Consider the following 20,784-nt stretch of genomic DNA (forward strand, 5'->3'; position numbering starts at 1 on the left):
AGTTCCCATGGAGGCATGAAAATACACTGGAAAGCAGGCTCATCAGATTACAGGGAGAGATGAGCAAAGCAATTTATTTATTTAAACTTTTTATATGAAAAATTTCAAATATATTTTGAAATTTCAAAATTCAAAAAAGAAAAAAGAATATAATAAACTCCATGTACTCTGCTTCAATAATTGTCAACTCACAGTCAAACTTGTTTTATTTACACCCCCATCTAATTCCATTCCCCCCCACACCACTGGATTATTTTGAAGCAAAACCAAGCCATCACATCATTTCATCTTATGTATATCTTCATATGTATATGTATATATGAAGATATACATGAATTTATACATGAAGATGAAATGAATATATATATAGGAATGAATATATATGAAGATGAATATATTTGATATATACATATATAATCAGAAATAAGAACTTTTCCTTAAATCTAAGCACAATTCATTATCATAATTAGAGGTGATTAACAATAATATATAATATTACTAACTATTCAATCACATGTGCATGTGTGTGTGTATGTTTTGGAAACACTATAGGTTAAAACATAGTTGATTGTTTTAATTCTTGTAGTTATTATTATTTTATTGAGGCTCACATCATCTCATCTTTGCCTAGAAAAAGGCTTCCCTAGCTGGCTCCAAAGTGTTTTAGACATAGCCCCAAAAGTCACTGCTAGCTCTCTTGCCCTTCAGTATGATAAATTATTCCAGGTTCATGTTACACAATTCCTGCCCCAGATCTGTGATCAGTTCTCGCCCAAAGATCCCAGGTTCCTTTTAGTGCTCACAGTCTGAGCACTAGATTTTGAACCTAGTAAATGAACCCAGAGATACTCATTTTACCTACCTTGTCATTATTGCTAAGTCTTTTCAGTCAATAGAGCCAGGGAATTTATATTTTTACATTAAAATACATCACAATTTCAATTAATAATTACAATATAATTTAAAGACTAGAAGGTTTCTTTTTGGCTCTGTTTTTGTTTTCTGAGACAAGTTCTGGCCATCACCTAGGCTAGAGTGCAGTGGCCCAATTACAGCTCACTGCAACCTTGAAATCCTGGGCTCAAGCGATCTTTCTGCCTTGGCCTTCTGAGTAGCTGGAACTACAGGCATGCACTACCATGCCCAGCCATTTAAAAAAAAAATCTCTTTTGTAGAAATGGGGTCTTGCTGTGTTGCCTAGGCTAGTCCCAAACTCCTGGGCTCAAGCAATCCTCCCACCTTGGCCTCCCAAAGTGTTGGGATTATAGGTGTGAGCCACCACAGCTGGCCAAGACTACAAGGTTTTTACTTAAACGTTTTTTCTCTTAAATCTAAATTACCTTTCTTCCATACCAAAAATCCTAGTTCCTGATACCAACATAATTTCACTTGCTTTATCCCATAATGCACACAACAGTCTCAAGAAGAACGAGAGAGAGAGACAGAGAGAGAGAAAGAGAGAGAGAGAAAAGAGAAAGAGAGGGAGGGAGGGAAGAAAGGAAGGAAAGAAGGAAAGCAGGAAGGCAGGCAGGCAGATGTAAACAGTAACAACACTATCATCAATAATAATTTTAAAAAACAATGTAAAATTGTTTCACAATTCTTTTTCTTAGGAGATATCTACATACTGTATCATTTGAAATCATTCCTCTCTGTGAGTATGCCACTAATTTGAGACTTAGGTTCATTCATGTCATTTCGCTTTCAAATTTCAGAGATTGCTTTGTTTCATGATTATTTTTTATAGTCGTGTTAAACATTTATATGCTTTTGAATTCAAAACAAAAACAAAATAGATTCAGACATATCTAGCTGTGAATCCTGTCCCCCACCACCTGGTTTCCACCCTCCTCCATAAATAATCGTTTCCTGCAATTGCTTTTAGCATAAGCAAATTTGTATTCAGATTCCTAGTTAAATAGTAGCATGGTGGACACATTTTTTTTCACCATGACTTTTTCTTACTTAGCAGTAAGCCCTAGGGGTTATTCCATAAACTTACTGATTTTTTTTTTTAAAAGTGTGTTACTTACTAGCCCAGGTGAAAAATTTTGTCTATAAAATGGGACCATTAGTAGGCAGCTGCTGGGAAAAAGAAGATTTAATCCAAGAGTATTATTTTTAAAAATATGCAGATTGGGGCTTTATAGTAAACCTTCATAAAATGACTCACCAAATTCACAGCATCGAGCTGGGAAAAATTAGAGTAGGTGGCTTTGCTTCTTACAGGCATACACAGTGTACAATTTTACCATGCAAAATGCTTTTGCTACTACAATTTTCCTTTGCTTTGCCTTTTTGAAAAGTAATGTTCCTTCCTATTTTAGTAGTACCATTTGCATTCCTATTATTCACACTGAACTGTGATTTCCATTTTTATCTTCCGTTTTTTACTTGTTTTCATTCCAGCATTTCTCCTCTTGGTCTTTGCCTTTCCTTTATCTTGCCCTTAAATGGAGGCCTCGTGTGCTATGGGAACAGTGCCATGAATTTTCTAACCATCATGCCAGGCCTCATCCCAATTTAATGATATAAGTTCCCTTGAACCATTGCCAACAAAGCTAGGACATCCCACACACATTTGCTATGGAAACACCTTCATGACTAATGGTCTCTCAAATTAAGGCATCTTAAAGTTAAAGCTAGAAATGGTATTCATTTTTTCAAAACATATTCTGCAGTCAAGGAAAAATATATAGCAGTTCTCTAAAAGTTATGAGTTGCTGTATTATTATAATACCCAGTTTCTCTGAGAGGTAGACTCCTACAAACCCAATCTCAAGGTGTGTGCAAAATGAACGCAAGAATTAGTTGATACTCCTCTGTGTCTTTAACTGAGTAGCCTCTGTTCTCCTCTGCTGTGTGTTTATGAGCTCAGGTCTTTGGATTGTGCCAAGTTCTTTACCTTAGAACAGAAGCAGAAACATTCAAGACCCTGCATGATTTGGATGCTGCCAAATCAGCAGATCACATCCCACCACTTTTCCCTCTCACACTGTCATAGCAAATTACACAGACTTCTTCAGGCCCACCAGGCCACTTTGTGCCTTTGTCCAAGCTATTGCCTCTGTCTAAGAAGACTGTGCTCATTTCCCAGGGGAATCTCTGTTTTATTCTTAAACACCTTGTTCAGGCATCACCTTCTCTAGCACACCTTCTTCTCCTCCCCAGTGAGAGCCGGCCCTTTTCTTTCTTCCATCTTTTCTTATGTATCCATGGATCTGTGACTATCTAGAGGGCAAAATAGATGTTCATTTGTTCCCCACTATGTGGCACCATGCCTGATTAGTACTGGTTCTGCTCAACCATAAATGATGGTTAATTAAATAACGGAATGAGTCAATGGGCATGTGATGTGCTCTCTTAGGTGTAAAAGGGAGACTACACTACCACCTACATACATGTTGCATTGAAATATCTGACTTAGATTTCCTCTGTTTCACATCTCTGTTTGGAAGGAATGGGGTTTTAACACACATCTCTGATTGCTGACCATGATGATTACCATAAAAATGGTGAGCATTATGGCCAGATGGAAATGAGATATGTTGATTAACTTGAATGAAGCAAAGTGGGCTTTGCCACTCTCTGTTCTTTTAACAACCCAGTCTTTAAAATCCATGCAGACGAACATCCCAGGAATCCTTTTCATCTTATATTGGGCTTTCCTATATGATGCCTCAATGCTCCTTACATTGGCTCAGCCTTGGCATATCCTTCTAATTGTCACCTTCCATTCCCTACCCACTGCTCCTAGTTGAAGACTGGCCTGCCCTGGAGTCATGTCTACACATCCTAATGAATGCGTGGCAAAAGTTGCTAATTTGATTGATTAATTTATCCAGCCCAATGAGGCAAGACAAGAGTAGTGACTCCCTGGTTAATTATAGTATGAATAACCTGTGTAAAATTATAGATGGACAGGCCTTATTCTTATGTGTTTCTTTTCAACCGGTCTGGGTTTGACAAAGGATCTCACTGTTCTTATTAAAGCAGTTTCATTATTCCAATGCTAAGGCAAGTTTTGGAACTGCCCAGTGAGAAGCAGAGTCACAGGACATACCTTATGCTCTCTAACAAATGCCATCCAAAAAACAGACACCACTGTTGTCCATCTCCTGGATGACAAAGCAGACACTTTGCAACACAGCAGAGGAGGCAGAAGGGAAACAGCTTCCTTTGCTGGTGACCAGCAGAAGCCACCCCTATTCCACTTATGCCTTTATAATCTCCAAATGCAATGGAATAATTTTGCATCAGGTTCCTGACCACAGAAATGAAACTTTTTTTCTTATTACATTTGTGTGTTTGTGATAGATGTGATTACTAAACACAGGTTTATTCGGAAGTTAACATATCTGTTGCACAAAAAGCCACTTCTCCAGCTCTTACTGAAGGGGTCATTGAGAAGTCAGAAATTCCAGTTCCTAAAAAGCTGGATGACTTTACTAATGCTGTCTTTTCTCAGTATCAGGCTTTATTACACCTTTTCCCAGAAGCCACTCTTCGTTTCCTAACTCTATCACAGCAGGGTTCAACAGAGTAGCTTTCTCCTATGCTAAACAAATGATTTTTTGAGATTTCTTTTCCACTCACTAAGCTTCCAGTACTATCTAAGTTTGCCAAATATCTCAAAGGAATTAAAGATCTAATTTAAGAGAAGATGGCAAGTGCCTTCTCAAAGAAACCGGGAGTACCCATCCTTAATGGTAAGAGTGACAAAGGAGGAAGCAGCAGTGGCCCATTTCCTCAGCCTCACTGAGCAGCATCTATGAAAAATGAGCTCAGCTGTTAACAGCCCGGGAGGGACTGCTATCTACCACATCACAGTCAGTTGAGAAGAACAGGATGTTCTGAGTACAGCATGAACCTCAAAGCTAGAGTCAAAAACCATATTTCCCAGGCAAGTGTTTACCTTTGTCTTCAATCTTCAAGAGAGAACGTTTCTGTTCTATGAAGAGTTAAGAAAACCCTGCCTGAGAAAGGAGCAGTGCAGAACTGATACACCTCTTTATTTTCACCTTATTAATGAAAAGAAAGCTCACTCTGGGTTGATAACAACATACCAATATAGGAAGAGTGCCAAAGTAACCCTGGCACTCTTCCTATATTCTTTTTTTTTATTATTGTATTTTAAGTTCTGGGATACCTGTGCAGAATGTGCAGGTTTGTTACATAGGTATACAAGTGCCGTGGTGGTTTGTTGCACCCATCAACCTGCCATCTACATTAGGTATTTCTCCTAATGCTATCCCTCCCCTGGAACCCCCACCCAATGTCAGGCCCCAGTGTGTGATGTTCCCCTCCCTGTGTCCATGTGTTCTCATTGTTCAACTCCCAATTATGAGTGAGAACATGCAGTGTTTGGTTTTCTGTTCCTGTATTAGTTGGCTGAGAATGATGGTTTCCAGCTTCATCCATGTCCCTGCAAAGGACATGAACTCATCCTTTTTGTGGCTACATAGTATTCCATGGTGTATATGTGCCACATTTTCTTTATCCAGTCTATCATTGATGGGCATTTGGGTTGGTTCCAAGTCTTTGCTATTGTGAATAGTGCTGCAATAAACATACGTGTGCATGTGTCTTTATAGTAGAATGATTTATAATCCTTTGGGTATATACCCAGTAATGGGATAGCTGTGTCAAATGGTATTTCTGGTTCTAGGTCCTTGAGGAATCATCATACTGTCTTCCACAATGGTTGAACAGGCACCCTACAGAATGGGAGAAAATTTTTGCAATCTATCCATCTGACAAAGAGCTAATATCCAAAATCTACAAGGAATTTAAACAGATTTACAAGAGAAAAACAAACAACCCCATCAAAAAGCAGGCGAAGGATATGAACAGACACATCTCAAAGGAGGACATTTATGTGGCCAATAAACCTATGAAAAAAAGCTCATCATCACTGGTCATTAGAGAAATGTAAATCAAAACCACAATTAGATACCATTTCACGCCAGTTATAATGGTGATCATTAAAAAATCAGGAAACAACAGATGCTGGAGAAGATGTGGAGAAATAGGAATGCTTTTACACTGTTGGTGGGAGTGTGCATTAGTTCTTCCTTGATTCTTAAAGGAACCATGCTTAATCTCCAGGTCTACTTGTTTACAGCTGAAGTGAGCCCCCAAGCAGTTATAGATTAAATTAGTTTGCATCAGGTAAATTGGTTTCCACCAAACTGAATGAAGGCACAGAAGCTGGTTGGGATTCTTCTGTTAAACATTGTCTAGTCTCGGAAAGCAAAAAATAATAATAATGAAAGGAGGCACTAACAAGGAAATGAAGTAAGTTTAATGCCTAAAAATAGCCATGCTTAGTAAATACTCATTTCTCATCCTCAGTGAGTCCCTTTGTAAACTGCAGTTAAAAATGAAGGCTTAAGATGTGCAATCCAGGAGCTGTCAGGCCTAACTTCTATCAAGTATCACTGCTTAGTTGATAGCTGGTTGAGCATAGAATTTTAGAATCAGACATATCTGGTTTTCATCTGGGTCTACTTCTACTCATCAAGGGATCTTATGAAAGTGAATTAACCTTTCTGAACCTGTTTCCTTTCTTAAAAAGAACTATTGTGATAATTAAATAAGAGAATGCATATAAAGGTTGTATACAAGTTTTGTCACTTAAGACATACTCAGTAAGTATTATTATTATTACTAAATCAGTATATTAATCAGGACTCAATTGATTGTAAGTAAAACCGATCTCAGTCAAACTGACCTAAACATAAAAGGAAAATTGTTGCCCCACATGATTGAAAACTTCAACGGCAAGTTAGATTCAGGCACATATGGACCTGGGCACTGAAATGAAGCCCCAGGTCTTGATGCTCACCCGAATCTTTTTCCCCACCTTCTTCCATCTTGTGCCTTTGTTTTGCTGTTTTGCCTTCATTCTTCTGCAGCCTTTTTTCAGAACAATTCTACACTTATATTTTCCCACCTGAGAAACCTTGGCCCTATCAAAAGCTCGCTCTCTATACCTCATTTATTGGATCATATGCCCTTCCATCTCTGACCAATCACTGTGGCAGAGAGATAGAGAGGAAGAGAGAGAGGGAGAACTCAAACTGACCAAGCTTGAGTCGTGTGCTCAACCTGGAGCTGGAGGGTGATGCCAGCCACACTAAACCCACAGAATTGAAAAAGGGAGAAGGGAGTGACCCGAAGAAGATAAGGGGGGCCTGTTACTCAAGAAAGAGAGCATGAATGCCAAGCAGATATACTTGCAGTCCAAAACTTAACTTTTGTTTTCTTAAAGATAGTTGCCAAGAAACAGATGAAATGCAAACTTCACCTTCAAACTGAGAGAACAAGGTCTGCAAAGATGGAACAACTTCTCCCTTCTAAGGTGAAAGAAATAGGAATATTGGATTCATAACCCCTTAAGATGTTGACTTGCCATAGGTATCACCAAAGGACGTTCCAAGAATAGAAATGTTCTTGATGTCAAGCTAAAGTTTACATGTAGCTGGCCCTTTTTGGTCACCACATATGGTTTGGGCACGTATTTATTTTGATTCATTTTGACTCTTTTAAATATGTTTTATCTGTATTTTATGTTGAAAATATATCTATCTAACTGCTTTCTTTTTATATGGCCCTAACCATGTCTCACTCAGAAATAGTGTCCCTTCATTCTAATGTGACTTCTTCCTAGTGTTTCACCATGCGGTGAATGAAGAGGGGTGCTGGAAATGTCCCCAGATGTTCTAACATACTTGCCAAAGCTGATTACAGCATTTTTGTTTAATTAAAACAAACTTACATGACATATTTCTTTTCATAAAGGTAGTTTTTGTTTAATTGTAGAAAAGTTAGAAGATACAAATAAGGGAAAACAAGGAGAAGAAGGGAGAGAGGGAGACATGAATGAAGAAAGAGAAGAAGAAAGGAGGGAGGGAGGAAGGGAAAGAGAAAAGAAGACTTGCAGAGAAAACTTATCATCCCCAGAGAAGCCATCATTAGCATCTAAATGTTCAGCTTTTCAAAGCCCCCACCCCTTTTTTTTAACTATATATGGTGGGGTTATTTTTACAAAAATGTGATCATAGTCTTTTTTTTATTTTTATTTATTTATTTTTTTTGAGGCACGGGGCTGGCTCTGTTTCTCAGACTGGAGTGCAGTGGCTTCCTGCAGCCTTGAACTTCTGGGCTCAAGCAATCCTCCCACTTCAGCCTCCAGAGTATGTGGGACTACAGGTGCATGCTGCCACCACACCTAGTTCTTTTTTTTTAGTAGAGACAGAGTCTGCCCAGGCTGTTATCAAACTCCTGGGCTCAAGTGATCCTCTCGCCTTGGCCAACCAAAGTGCTGGGATTACAGGTATGAACCATTGCACCTGGCTGAATCATACTTTTATAACTTGCTTGTTCCACTACTCCATATATCTAAATTATTAAATATTATTTCTACTAAATTCTTAATACTAGGAGTTCTTAACCTTTGAGTGATAGACAGGTTCCTGTTTAAATCTCTTTATATTACATGAAAATGTTGAGCATATGGAGATTTTTCTAGGGAGATGGTTCACAGCTTTTATTGAGCTCCCCAAGGGTGCCCACAATCAAAAATTTTTAAGGCCACTGTTTTACACCCTCATTTTAAATGGTAAAAATAGATATATCTGGAAGAGATATAAACAGACACATATCATGATTTTTTTAACCAAATTCTTGTTACACATTTAATTCCATCCCACTTTTGAACTATTATAAACAATATGCAGTGAACTTAGCTTTTAAAACTTTAACTACATAACTATTTCCCGTGATACTGGCAGAAATGACATTGCTGGGAATTTTTTCAGTGTGAAGTAACACAGATTGACAAATTGTCACAGCACTTAACAAGTGACTTTTTACACCATAGAACCCACCTTGTTCAGATACTACAGCTAGAACTGTATCATGAGAGAGCCACCCTCCTGCACATACTGCAGGAAGGAGCAACATTTCCTGCATTTGTTTGGTTTTGTTACCGACTTGCCGCCCTGCCTGCCACTTTGAGGCACAGTTGCAGCGCCTCTGTTTACATTTTTGGAGGACACGTGGACAAGCCCAGGCAAAGCCGAACAGCACACGGTACATCAATCACACAAGGAACATCTGCTGATTCCCTTGGGGGAAACAGAATGATTCCGAGAGTTGGGGCACTGCCAACGGGAAATTCACACAGATGAAAGCAACAGAATTCATGCTTGCAGTTTCAAGGGGGTGGAGGAAGGAGGAGAAAGAGAGTGGGTAAGCAGCAAGGTGAAATACAGGGTTCCCCCCCGAGTCTCACTTGTTACATATGAAAAGGTTTAAATCAGTGTTTTAAAATATCGGAACTGGAAGTTGTGAAAGCAAAACTATTCTTTGGTTTCAGATGTATTTTCATCTAGAGACCTTATTAAGGAATTTGCTAGAATAGTTTTAGTGACCCAAAAATAAATATTGATTGGTTCTGTATGTATTTATAAAAGTATACCTGGTCTGGGGGATCTGAGGCTACTGGATCATAAGAGAGTACAATGAAACCAGAGTGTGCTAACCTGCACATCTTGAAGGACTAACATCTTCCAGGTTTGCTGTTGTTTACGTGCTGCCTGTGAAAAGCAGAGTTTTGAGTGTTTTCAGCACCAAAGTCCCCTCAAAGCAAAAGAACAAAACCATCAAGATGTTATTGGTAATTCATAATCTGAAGCTGAGCATATAAGAATTTGTCTTTTTTAATTGTGGATACATTGAATTTGGGCTCCCAAATGGTGTTCTTATGATTTCAGTTTTTCTCTCAGAGAAAATACTGTACCAACAAGCCCTGTCAGAAGTCACCTCCAAATGCATGGAATACCAGGAATGACCCCTCCCTTCCTTCAGATCTGATATTTCCTTGGCAAGCACTTTTTCTCAGACTATCTTGCCATCGAATTTCTATACCGCCTCAAGATGACACTTTGTCTAGCAAAAAGTGATGCAAAGCTCTTTTGCAAAAGCCCCTCAAATTAATACACCTTACATATTTTCACTAATAAAACTTTCCTTGGAAGCCCCATATGTGTAATTATGCTTTCACAGATGTAAACAACTAAAACACAAGAAGATTAAATGATCTCTCTGAGATGACCTAGCAAATCATCCACCAAATGCATGATGTCTGACAACTTATGACATACAAATGCTTACACTGACAACTCGCCCTCATCCTTGTTTCTGTGCAGAAAAATAAGGGAAATCGTTTACTGGCCCAGAAGACCTCACGATGGCAAATTCAATCAGATCCTCATTAACCAGATCAAAATGAGGCCTGACAGAGTCTTCATTAGATCTACAAAATCCTGTTCGTTTTAGCTCTGAGTCTCCTGACTTGTCCGTGTCATCATAAATTGGTTGTTTTGAAGTCAGAGAGGACAAAGTGCTTGCAGATGATGGTCACCCTGCCTGACCTATAAGGACAAGGTTCTGTTAGAAAAAATGAAACAGTGCAGCAGTGGCAAGGCCTGGCCAAAGAAATAGGTTTGCTAACCGGCAAGAAACAGAGAAAAGAAAAACCCAGTTATTTAAAAATACTGACCAAAATACTAACAACTACAAAGACATTGTCCCAGTCCCATCACGGAAACCAATGTAAACTTCTCTTGTGAAGCTGAATTACAGGTCACTTAAGTTCTATTACATACATTTTACATTCCCAGTCAGAAAAATGGCATCCTCTATATCTGAAAAAATTCATCTAACCCCAGATGAAGTCTTCTTTTTTTTTTTATAATGGAATTAAATTCTGTCACTTTTTTTAGCAGTGGTGCCAGCGAGACCAGCCACTGAAATAAGCAGAGTTAATGGCCATTGAGTTAACGGACTTGAGAGGGGCCAAAAAGCCGGCTTGCCAATGTGCCCGTGGCTTCCACCATAAAGTCACTCCAATGAATGGGGCACTGCATTTCCAAAATTCTCCTGTCACAAATGCTAATGTTGACCTATCACAGTGCCCAGGCCATCACAGACACTCAATGTTTATTGAATGAATAAAAGAATGATTGTTGCCTGTGAATGATAATAAGTTTTGATTATATTGGTTAGATTCTATTCCAAAAATATGTAAGTATCTGGAACATATTAACTCACTTGCTCTCACTATATGTGGTTATGAAATAGGTTCTCAGATTGGCCCTTTGCCAACAAGCCCAAGCCAGCTCTTAAAGAAATGGAACACTGGAAAGGAAAGCGTGGGACAGAGGCAATGAGATATGAGAAGGAGGGACTGGGAAGATCCTGAGGTTTGGCAGAGAAAGAAGCAACTTGATAGGTTAACTCATATCCGTGGCTTCCAGCACACTGTGGAGACCCATACCAATCTCCCAGAGGCCTAGAGGAAGAGTTTTACCATCCAAAGGAACTACTGATTAGTGGTTAAGCACACAAATTCAGGAGTTCAAATTCCTGCTCTCCTACTTCCTAGATGTATGACTCGGTGCAAAGTATTTAACTTCTGTCTGCCTTAGATATTGTTGCCCTGAAATGAGCGTCAGAATAACTCTCTCCTTGGGCCTTGTGAGGAATAAGATAATACACATAAAGCCCACAGAAGAGTGCTGGCCTGGCCTAGGAAGCACTCAGTTAATGCTAATTTTTATTCTTATCATTAATATCTCCACCTTATACTATCTCTAAGTAAGACAGTAGGGGTGAGCAATTTATCTCATACCATCACAGCTTCTACAAATACATAATAGAGAAGTTGGCTAACTGCGTCAACAGCGGTTGCCTCCTGTTAGTATATGTATCTCTGCATGAAGGAGATAGATATGTGCTTTTCACATTTATGCTCCTGCTATGGGTAAATTACTAGACCTTTCCTTGCCTCAGATGATGAATAGAAAAATTAGATAATAATAGTATGTGCCTCATTGTATTGCTGGAGAAGAGAGTTATATGATTTAGGCCAGGGGCAGTGGCTCACACCTGTAATCCCAGCACTTTGGCAGGCTGAGACAGGTGGATTGCTTGAGCTCAGGAGTTCGAGATCAGCCCGGCCAACATGGTGAAACCCCATCTCTACTAAAAATACAAAAATTAGCCAAATGTGGTGATGCACACCTGTAGTCCCAGCTACCCCAGTGGCTGAGGCAAAATAATCATTTAAACTCAAGAGGCAGAGGTTGCAGTGAGCCAAGATCATGCCACTGCACTCCAGCCTGGGCAAGAAAGTGAGACTCTATCCAAAGAGAGAGAGAGAGTTAGATTATTTAATTCCTAGACATAATCTAGAACAGTACCAAGTAGATAACAAGCATGGTCAATATTATTTCATATGGATGTGGGGGGTAGAGGTATGAGTGTGTGTTCCTCACAGTTTTTCTAAGGATGAGTACGATCTTGATAACCAATTTTCAATTTTAAAAAATCTGGGAACACATAGGTATTTACCCAAAACAGTTCTTTCACAGTATGGAGGACAGGTGCCACTGACATGATAAGGTGACAGAGACTTTGTTTCCTCAGCTTTGTGTTCCCCCTGAACTGGTCTGAGTAAAAAATCCATGCCCAAATCCGGGCTCTGGGGCGAAACCACTGTTTAATTCAGCAGCAGCGATTAAGGTCACCTAAAAAGATTATTGAAAGCATGATGCTAGCACTCATTACAGAGGGCTAGGGTTGATCCCTGGGTTAGCAGTCCTCACTTCCTGTGCTGCCCTGGGCATCAGTCTAGAATCACACACTCTGCATCCAACCTCAATTCCCTCAGTGGCCCCTAAGGGAGAGACTAATCTGCCATTTATTTCCAAATCGGTGAAATGGAAGGGCTATTTCTAACTCTGGGAAAGTGCATTGGTAGGAATGAGGCAATAAGCAGAGGAAACAAGTTTTGGGGGCTCTTTCCTCTGAATTTTAAAGTCAGAGTTTCCTGTGTAAGCAAAGCCGGGATTCTTTTTTCTCATTTAAGCCTACGCACCTACTGCGCACAACTTTGAAACTCAGAATGATTGTTCATAGCATAGTTCTGTAAAATAAATATACACATATAGATCCGTAAGATTCTAGGGGTGGGCAATGTATTCCTTACCCTTCCAACTTCTACAGATACACAATAGGTAAGTTGTGTAACTGCCTCAGCAGCTGTTTCCTATGCTTGGAATATGCGCGTCTGGATGAAGGAAAAAGACATGTGCATTTCACATAGAAACTCAGCGCAGTCCCCAAGTTAGGGAAATGGCAGTGCTGTGTAATAGCAATGAGCAGAGAAATGTCTGCTCATTGATATGTAAATGACAATAGCAGGCATTCTGCTGTGTTGAAGGAATCCCATGACTGGTTTGACCACAAGCAGGTTATTAAAGTGAAACAAGGCTATTTTGTCCATTATGAAAAGCACTGTCCTTTCCCAGTGAGTGGCACATTCAGGGCTATTTACATTTCAACAACCAACAATACATCAATATAAATACTCCTTTAAATCCACTTTCTTTTTCGAAGAACAGTAGCTGTTCAAAATCATGCGGTTACACAAGAATCTGAATCAAGCAGAAATAATTAAAAATCCAACATTCAGTCAATTCTATATATATTAAATCATTCATAAGTAAAGTCTTTCAAAGCCCTGGAGTAGAATTAAGAGAAATCTCATTTTGTAATCCTGGAAACTGAGGTTCAACTGTTATAGCCGGTAGCTATGTGTATTAAGTATTATTATGTAATCTATTTATTATTGTATTTACTATATGATAAAAATACTGTATGTGAGTACTTACTATTGAGATAGGCATATTCCATGTATGACATTATTTAATCTTCACCATGAACCCGTGAGGCAAATACCATTATAATCTGCACTTTAAAAATAAACAAACTGAGGCTTGAAGAAGTTCAGTAACTTGCCCCAAACCAGACACCCAGTATATGGAAGATTCAGGTTTCTTAACCAGGATTCTGATCTGCACTGCAGTGGTGTTCTTAACTGTCACCCACACCTCCTCTCCACAGAGATTCAATAATAGAAAGTGGATTTCAGCTAGTAAACTATCTTGGGCACTCAGGATAGTTTGCTTGTGTTAGACAAAAGACTAAAAAACCATAGTTCAGGCTGGATGCAGTGGCTCATGCCTATAATCCCAGAACTTTGAGAGGCTGAGGCAGGCAGATTGCTCGAGCCCAGGAGTTCAAGACCAGCCTGGGCAACATGGTGAAACCCTGTCTCTACCAAAACAAAACAAAACAAAACAAAATAATGAAAAGCTATATAGTTCAATCTACAGGAACATTTTTAACTTTCATTTACAAATCATTGTGAAAAATCCAGTTATCCATAATAAATTCTACCATCCATTCATTTTTGCATCCAACAAATATTTATTGAGCAGTTAATAAGTGTGAGGCACATGTCAGAACCTGGGGTTAGAGCAGTGAACCAGACAGACATGGCCCCAACTCCACTTAATTTACAGTCTACTGGGGGAGAAAAACATTAAAAAATAATCATTCAATACAATTGTGACAACCGTATGTAGGAGAAAAAGACCTCAAGGCAAGGAAAACCAATGAAAGAAAGACCAACTTAGTCTAAGAAAGTCAGAGAAAGCCACTATGAGAAAGTTTATATGTATATGTATATATATATATATATATATATATTTTTTTTTTTTTTTTTTTTTTTGAGACGGAGTCTTGCTCTGTTGCCTAGGCTGGAGTGCGGTGGCACCATCTCGGCTCACTGCAAACTCCGCCTCCCGGGTTCACACTATACTCCTGCCTCAGCCTCCCGAGTAGCTGGGACTACAGGCACTGGCCACCATAGGCTTGGAGACTGGGTAAGAGTTAGCCAAATACAAGAAAGGAGAGGTATATCAGGATGCTTTAACAATGTAAATATGCTTTAAAAACACTAAAAGGTATTTATTGGTCACTAAGAACAGTGTCAGATGCAGTTTGATCAAAGCTCTGGCTTTGTTTCTTAAAGACTCTAACTGTCCTTCCAAATTATATGTTGGTTTCAGTCCTTTGGTTTCTATCATACTATGTCTACCAACAACAACTAGAGCTTTTTTGTTCACATTCAGACAGAGTTCCCTTTTTATGCTGATTAAGCCTCCCCCAAACCAGTCCTTCTAACCAGTGGATGCCTAAACCAATCAATGTGGTAAGGAAAATTAAATTTGTATACTTTTGTATCCTAGGGTGGATCCATTTCATCCAAACATATGGCTGCTAGGCATAGATGTGATGTATATTGAAGAGGCAACCACACTTTCCATGTCAAAGAGAAAACTACTCTGGTCAAACAGAAAAATGTGTGCAAATAATCTTAGGCAGTAAGATTAAAAGTTTGAATATCTAACATAAGCCCAGTGTGAAAAACAGAAAATAAAGAGGAGAATGATATGAGATAAGTTTGCATGGTCAGAGAGGGGTCAGATTATGCAGGAGCTTGAAGCCCATGTTAAAAATTTTGGACATTTATCTCAGGTTAATGGAGAGCTTTTGTTGTATGTTATGATCAAGTCTATATATTAAAAGCATTCCTATATAGAAGAAATGAATTATCAAAAATGCATATTATATATCTTATACATATATGTATATAAACTATTTCTGAAAAATATACAATCAACTGGTAAATGTGGTTGCTTATAGGAAGAGATCCTTGAGAAATAAAGAGCTGACTTAGTAGAGAGACCTACTTATCATTGTGCTCACTTTTGAATTTGGCTTTATTTTTTAACTATATTCATGCGTTGTTTTTAAATTTTAAAAAGTAGTAAATTGTTTGAAGTGATTATCCTGTCCACAGAGAGAAAAATTAGAGGTGGGAAAGAGTGCAGGGAAGCCAGTTAGGAGACTACTGCAGCTGGCCATGCAGGAGATGGTGGTGGCTTGGCTTTGTATGGTACAGAAACAGGATTTGAGCCCAGGTCGTCTGAAGCTGAAGTTCCTGCCTTTCACCACCACTATAGCTAACAAACCTTGTATTTCAATGGAAGGCACACACAGGTGGGGCAGGAAATGACTACAGAGCCAGTTATTTCTGAGCATGAGATGCAATATGGTGAGGAGGCCTGAGAAAAAGCCAGAGCCAAAGGAATGGTTATAACAGGATGATGGGAGCCTGGGGAAAGGGAGCAAATTTTCATTTGTGCAGAGGTGCAAACTTATTTGATTTACCTGAGCTACTGATATCCCCAGTTGTAACATTATGCAAATGTAACACCTCTAAAAATGAGACACTGCATTCGAATTGAACTCTTGAGATTCAAGATTGTCAAATGGAATGAGAGCCTTGAAACCCCTTTAGCAGCCAGACCACACTGGGCAAGAAAATGGAAAGTTGCAGTCTCCTCTCACTCTGCAGCCTGACGTCATGAGCTTCACTTAGTCTGTGCTGGGTATAGGTAAGCTGAATAGCATGCAATAAGCAAGCACTAGTAAGTAAGGAGAGGATTACCAAGGAAATGAATAAATGTCAGGGGAAGTTTGAGTGATGACTATACACAATTAACAAAATATAAAATGCAAGGTTCTGGAAAATTCTAGCAATTGCATTAACTAGCTAACACAGGAGAACAGCTGGTAACATACCAGCTTCATCGAGTTGAGTTGTACCTTTGTAGAATCATCGAGTGACCATTTGGGAAATTCCCAATTGTTTAAAATATGAGAATTGACTACCTTGATGGGATATCAGGTGGGTATTCATATGTCCAGAAATCATATTTTTATACTATATTTGGAAGCCTGGGTATTTTTCTGTTTTATCTGTTGCCTTCCAAGGGCTATAGGAAAGGGGACATTAGATGAAGTGATGGGTCTCACCTTGAAGAGACAATGGAATTAATGTAAGATAGAATTAGAACGCAGAGAATAGAAGACATGAATTCAAGACTTAGGAGAAGAAGCATAAGAGATAAGTAAGGACCAGTGAGATGATGACTTCACTTAAATACTACTCTCCCACTAGTAAGACTTTCCTGACTAATTTGGCCCCAGGATAATTATGCCATTCTGTATCCCATTTCTCCTGGGCTTGGCTACACTAATGGACAGAGTAATGTGACTAACAGATTGCACGACGACCTATTTCAATCACATGCTTGTTTTTCCTTCCTCTGGGCTTTCTCTGTGATTCCCTCAACAGGGAACTCTATTTATGATGTTATTTCCATTTCACTAAGCTTAATTCTCCCTATCTGCAATTCACCTCCTTTATAAGGTTCTGTTCTTATCTCTCAAACTGGATGCAATCACTCCTTTTGAACCTCTTACCATTTCATGATACTTTCCTTGTCTCATTTATGGGTACAGTGCAACTTAGTGGTAACAAACATTTAGAGCTGGATAGGATCTGCCCCAATGTTCTCATTGAATAAATAAGGAACTTGAGTACCAGAGCAGACAAACGAGTTGTCCTAAGCTACACAGTAGCATAGCTCATACCAGGACATGTATCTCCTGATTTGGGGCTCTCTTGTCCTCTGATGGAAATGTTGGGGTTCTCTGCCACATTGTTACGTGCAACCAGCCCACTCATTTTTACTTCTATGAATAGAAACTGGGAAAGTGGGTTTAAACTTTTAATCAAGTATCAAACATTTACTACCTACTACTACCTACTACCTACTACTACATTTACTACCTACTACTAAACTATGACTTTACTCTTTCTGCAACTCTATTTCCTCATCTGTAAAATGGTGATAGTCATGTCATGTACCTCACAGTGTTATTGTGAGGAATAAATTGATATATATATAGAGAGATAGATATAGATATCTATCAGCTTGGGGCAAACCATAAGCTCTCTGTAGAAACTGGTTATTATGACTACTACAACTGTACATAATAGTTTTTTTTGTTTTTTGGGTGTTTTTTGTTTTTTGTTTTTTATGTTTGTTTTTTGAGATGGAGTCTCGCTCTGTTGCCCAGGCTGGAGTGCAGTGGCACAATCTTGGCTCACTGCAAGCTCTGCCTCCTGGGTTCATGCCATTCTCCTGCCTCAGCTTCCTGAGTAGCTGGGACTACAGGCATCTGCCACCAACCCCGGCTAATTTTTTGTATTTTTAGTAGAGATGGGGTTTCACCATGTTAGCTAGGATGTTCTCAATCTCCTGACCTCGTGATCTACCCGCCTCGACCTCCCAAAGTGTTTACACTTTGGGATTACAGGCGTGAAGCACTGCGCCCGGCCAGTTATTGGTATATTTGTTGTATATTTTATTTAGATTATATGCATTTTAAATTATCTGTCTAACTCAGCTTGTTGTACATAATATATTTATCATCTATTGCTGTGCAGCAAATTATCCCCATAATTTTTCAGTTTAAAACAACAAACATTTATTATCTCACAGTTTCTATGGGTCAGAAAACTGGGCATGGCTTAGAGTTTCTGCAAAGACTGTAATCAATGTGTCTACCTAGGCTGTGGTCATCTCAAGGCTCAACTACGGAAGGATCCACTTCCAGGCTCACTCATGTAACTGTTGGCAGACTTCAGTCCTTGCTGGATGTTGTCTGGAGACATCAGTTCTCTGCCATGTATGTCTCTCCTTAGCCACAACCAGCTGGCAGCTGGCTTTCCCCAGAACAAATGTTGAGAAAGAAAGAGAAAGAGAGAGAAAGAGAGAGAGAGAGAACAAATCAGAAGTCACGATCTTTTCGTAACCTAATCTCAGAAGTGAAAAATTTATCACTTCTGCTGTATTCTATTTGTTAGAAGTGAGTCATTATATCCAGCCTACTCCTGAGAGAAGGGGATTAAACAAGGATATGAATCCCAGGATGTGGTGGTCACTTGAGCCCATCTTAGAGGCTATCTTCCACACATAGCAAGGAGTGGGTAAAAGGTATAGTTATTAAATGTGTTATCCTTACAAGACAGTCCTTATAATTCTGAAAGATCATACATCTAATGGACTGAAACTGTGACCTGAACAAGTAAATGATGTCTAAGAGAAACACTCATTTGTTTGTTTATTAAACACTGGGGCTTTTTGTTGTTTATTTGTTTTGTTTTGTTTTTGAGACAGGGTCTTGCTCTGTCACCCAGGCTGGAGGGAAGTAGCTTGATCATGGCTTACTACAGCCTCAACCTCCTGAGCTCAAGCGATTCTTCCACCTCAGACTCCCAAGTAGCTGGGACTACAGGTGTGCACCACCAGGCCAGTTTAATTTTTATATTTTTTGTAGAGACGAGGTTTTACCATGTTGTCTAGGCTTGTCTCAAATGCCTGAGTTCATGTGATCTGCCCACCTCAGCCTTCCAAAGTGCTGGGATAACAGACATGAGCCATGACTGCTGGCCTTTATCCCCAATTTTATGTCAGACACTGTGTGGCGAATTAGGGATGCTAAGAATTTTTTAAGTGAACTTTTGAAAAATGAGTTCATTTAGAGTAGGATAGGATCTGGCCCAATGTTATCATTTAATAAATAAGGAAATTGAGTTTCAGAACAGACAAACAAGTTGTTCCAAGTCACAGCAGCACGGTGGGTACCAGGATATATATCTCATGATTTGAGTCTCCCTCATCCACTTACAGAAATATAAGGGTTCTCTGCCATGTTCTCCTGTGCAAATGCTTCTCCCATTTTCTCTTCTTTTTTTTTTTTTTTTTTTGAGACAGTCTCGTTCTGTCGCCCAGGCTGGAGTGCAGTGGCACAATCTTGGCTCACGGCAACCTCCACCTCCCAGGTTCAAGTGATTCTCTGCCTCAGCTTCCTGAGTAGCTGGGACTACAGGCGCGCACCACCACGCCTGGCTAATTTTTTTTTTTTTTTTTTTTTTTGTATTTTTCAGTAGAGACGGAATTTCACCATGTTCGCCAGGCTGGTCTTGAACTCCTGACCTCAGGTGATCTGCCTGCCTCGGCCTCCCAAAGTGCTGGGATTACAGGCATGAGCCACTGCGCCCAGCCCTCATTTTCATTTCTATGAATTAAGTCATAGAGAAGGACTAAACCAATGGGACTTACATGCTTTTTAGATGCTTGTGGTTTTATTAAATTAAGGCGTTAATATTAGGACACTCTTTAAATGAAGACAAATTATCATCTCTGAAGTTTCTATATTACTAACATAGATTTTCACTGACTCATTTTTCCCAACTGCCTTGTTCCCTGTACTGATATTTCATTTAAACTTTAAGACATCATCTGACAGAAAAACTGAGTTAGACATAACCTATGTTAGACAACTTCAGAGAGGGAAACAAATGCATTCTTCTGGAAACACAAACACAACTTGCCCCCAAACCATCCAAGCTTCCATTCTCTTCTTTTGCTTGTCTATTGAGGCTGGTTTTTGTTGTTGTTGTTGTTGTTGTTGTTTTGGTTTGGTTTTGACACAGAATTTTGCTCTGCTGCCCAGACTGGAGTGCAGTGGCATGATCATAGCTCACTGTAACGCGTGTACTCAAGCAATTCTTCTGCCTCAGTCTTCCAAGTAGCTGGGACTACAAGTGTGTGCCACCATGCCCGGTTAATTATTTTTTTTTTTTTTAGAGATAGGGTCTTGCTATGTTGCCCAGGCTGGTCTCAAACTCCTATACTCAGGCAATACTTCTCTCTCAGTCTCCCAAAGTGCTGGGATTACAGGCATGAGCCATTATATCTGGCCAGGCTGATGTTTATTTGTTGTTTCATTTTGCTTCCCTTCCACCAAAAAGCAACGTGTACATTGCGTGCATGTATCAAATTCAACAATGCCACTTTCCCCTCCTAGAAAAATAAAATAACCCTAACCCTATTCATGCCTGGGAATAGAATGTACTTCAAGAGGCAAATACAAGAATGTCATATGATA

The 20,784-nt window shown here is 39.3% G+C and overlaps 1 long non-coding RNA gene across 5 annotated transcripts in view, besides 3 other annotated features; it reads right to left on the reverse strand.

Moving 5' to 3' along the window:
• The window catches only part of LINC01619 (long intergenic non-protein coding RNA 1619), a 157,856-nt gene that overhangs the window by 41,021 nt on the left and 96,051 nt on the right, over positions 1-20,784 (reverse strand). The window lies entirely within an intron of this gene.
• Positions 8,977-9,271: an enhancer, noted in NCBI's record as "tiled region #2068; HepG2 Activating DNase matched - State 2:TssF". NCBI's record gives its function as "activates a minimal TATA promoter and a strong SV40 promoter by Sharpr-MPRA in HepG2 cells {active_cell/tissue: HepG2}" and the evidence as "EXISTENCE:reporter gene assay evidence [ECO:0000049][PMID:27701403]".
• Positions 8,977-9,304: a biological region, named in NCBI's record as "Sharpr-MPRA regulatory region 2068".
• Positions 8,995-9,304: an enhancer, noted in NCBI's record as "active region_6718". NCBI's record gives its function as "activates an Ori minimal core promoter by ATAC-STARR-seq in GM12878 lymphoblastoid cells {active_cell/tissue: GM12878}" and the evidence as "EXISTENCE:reporter gene assay evidence [ECO:0000049][PMID:35858748]".

Source organism: Homo sapiens, chromosome 12 (genome assembly GCF_000001405.40).
Source record: "Homo sapiens chromosome 12, GRCh38.p14 Primary Assembly".
Classification (NCBI taxonomy): Eukaryota; Metazoa; Chordata; class Mammalia; order Primates; family Hominidae; genus Homo; species Homo sapiens.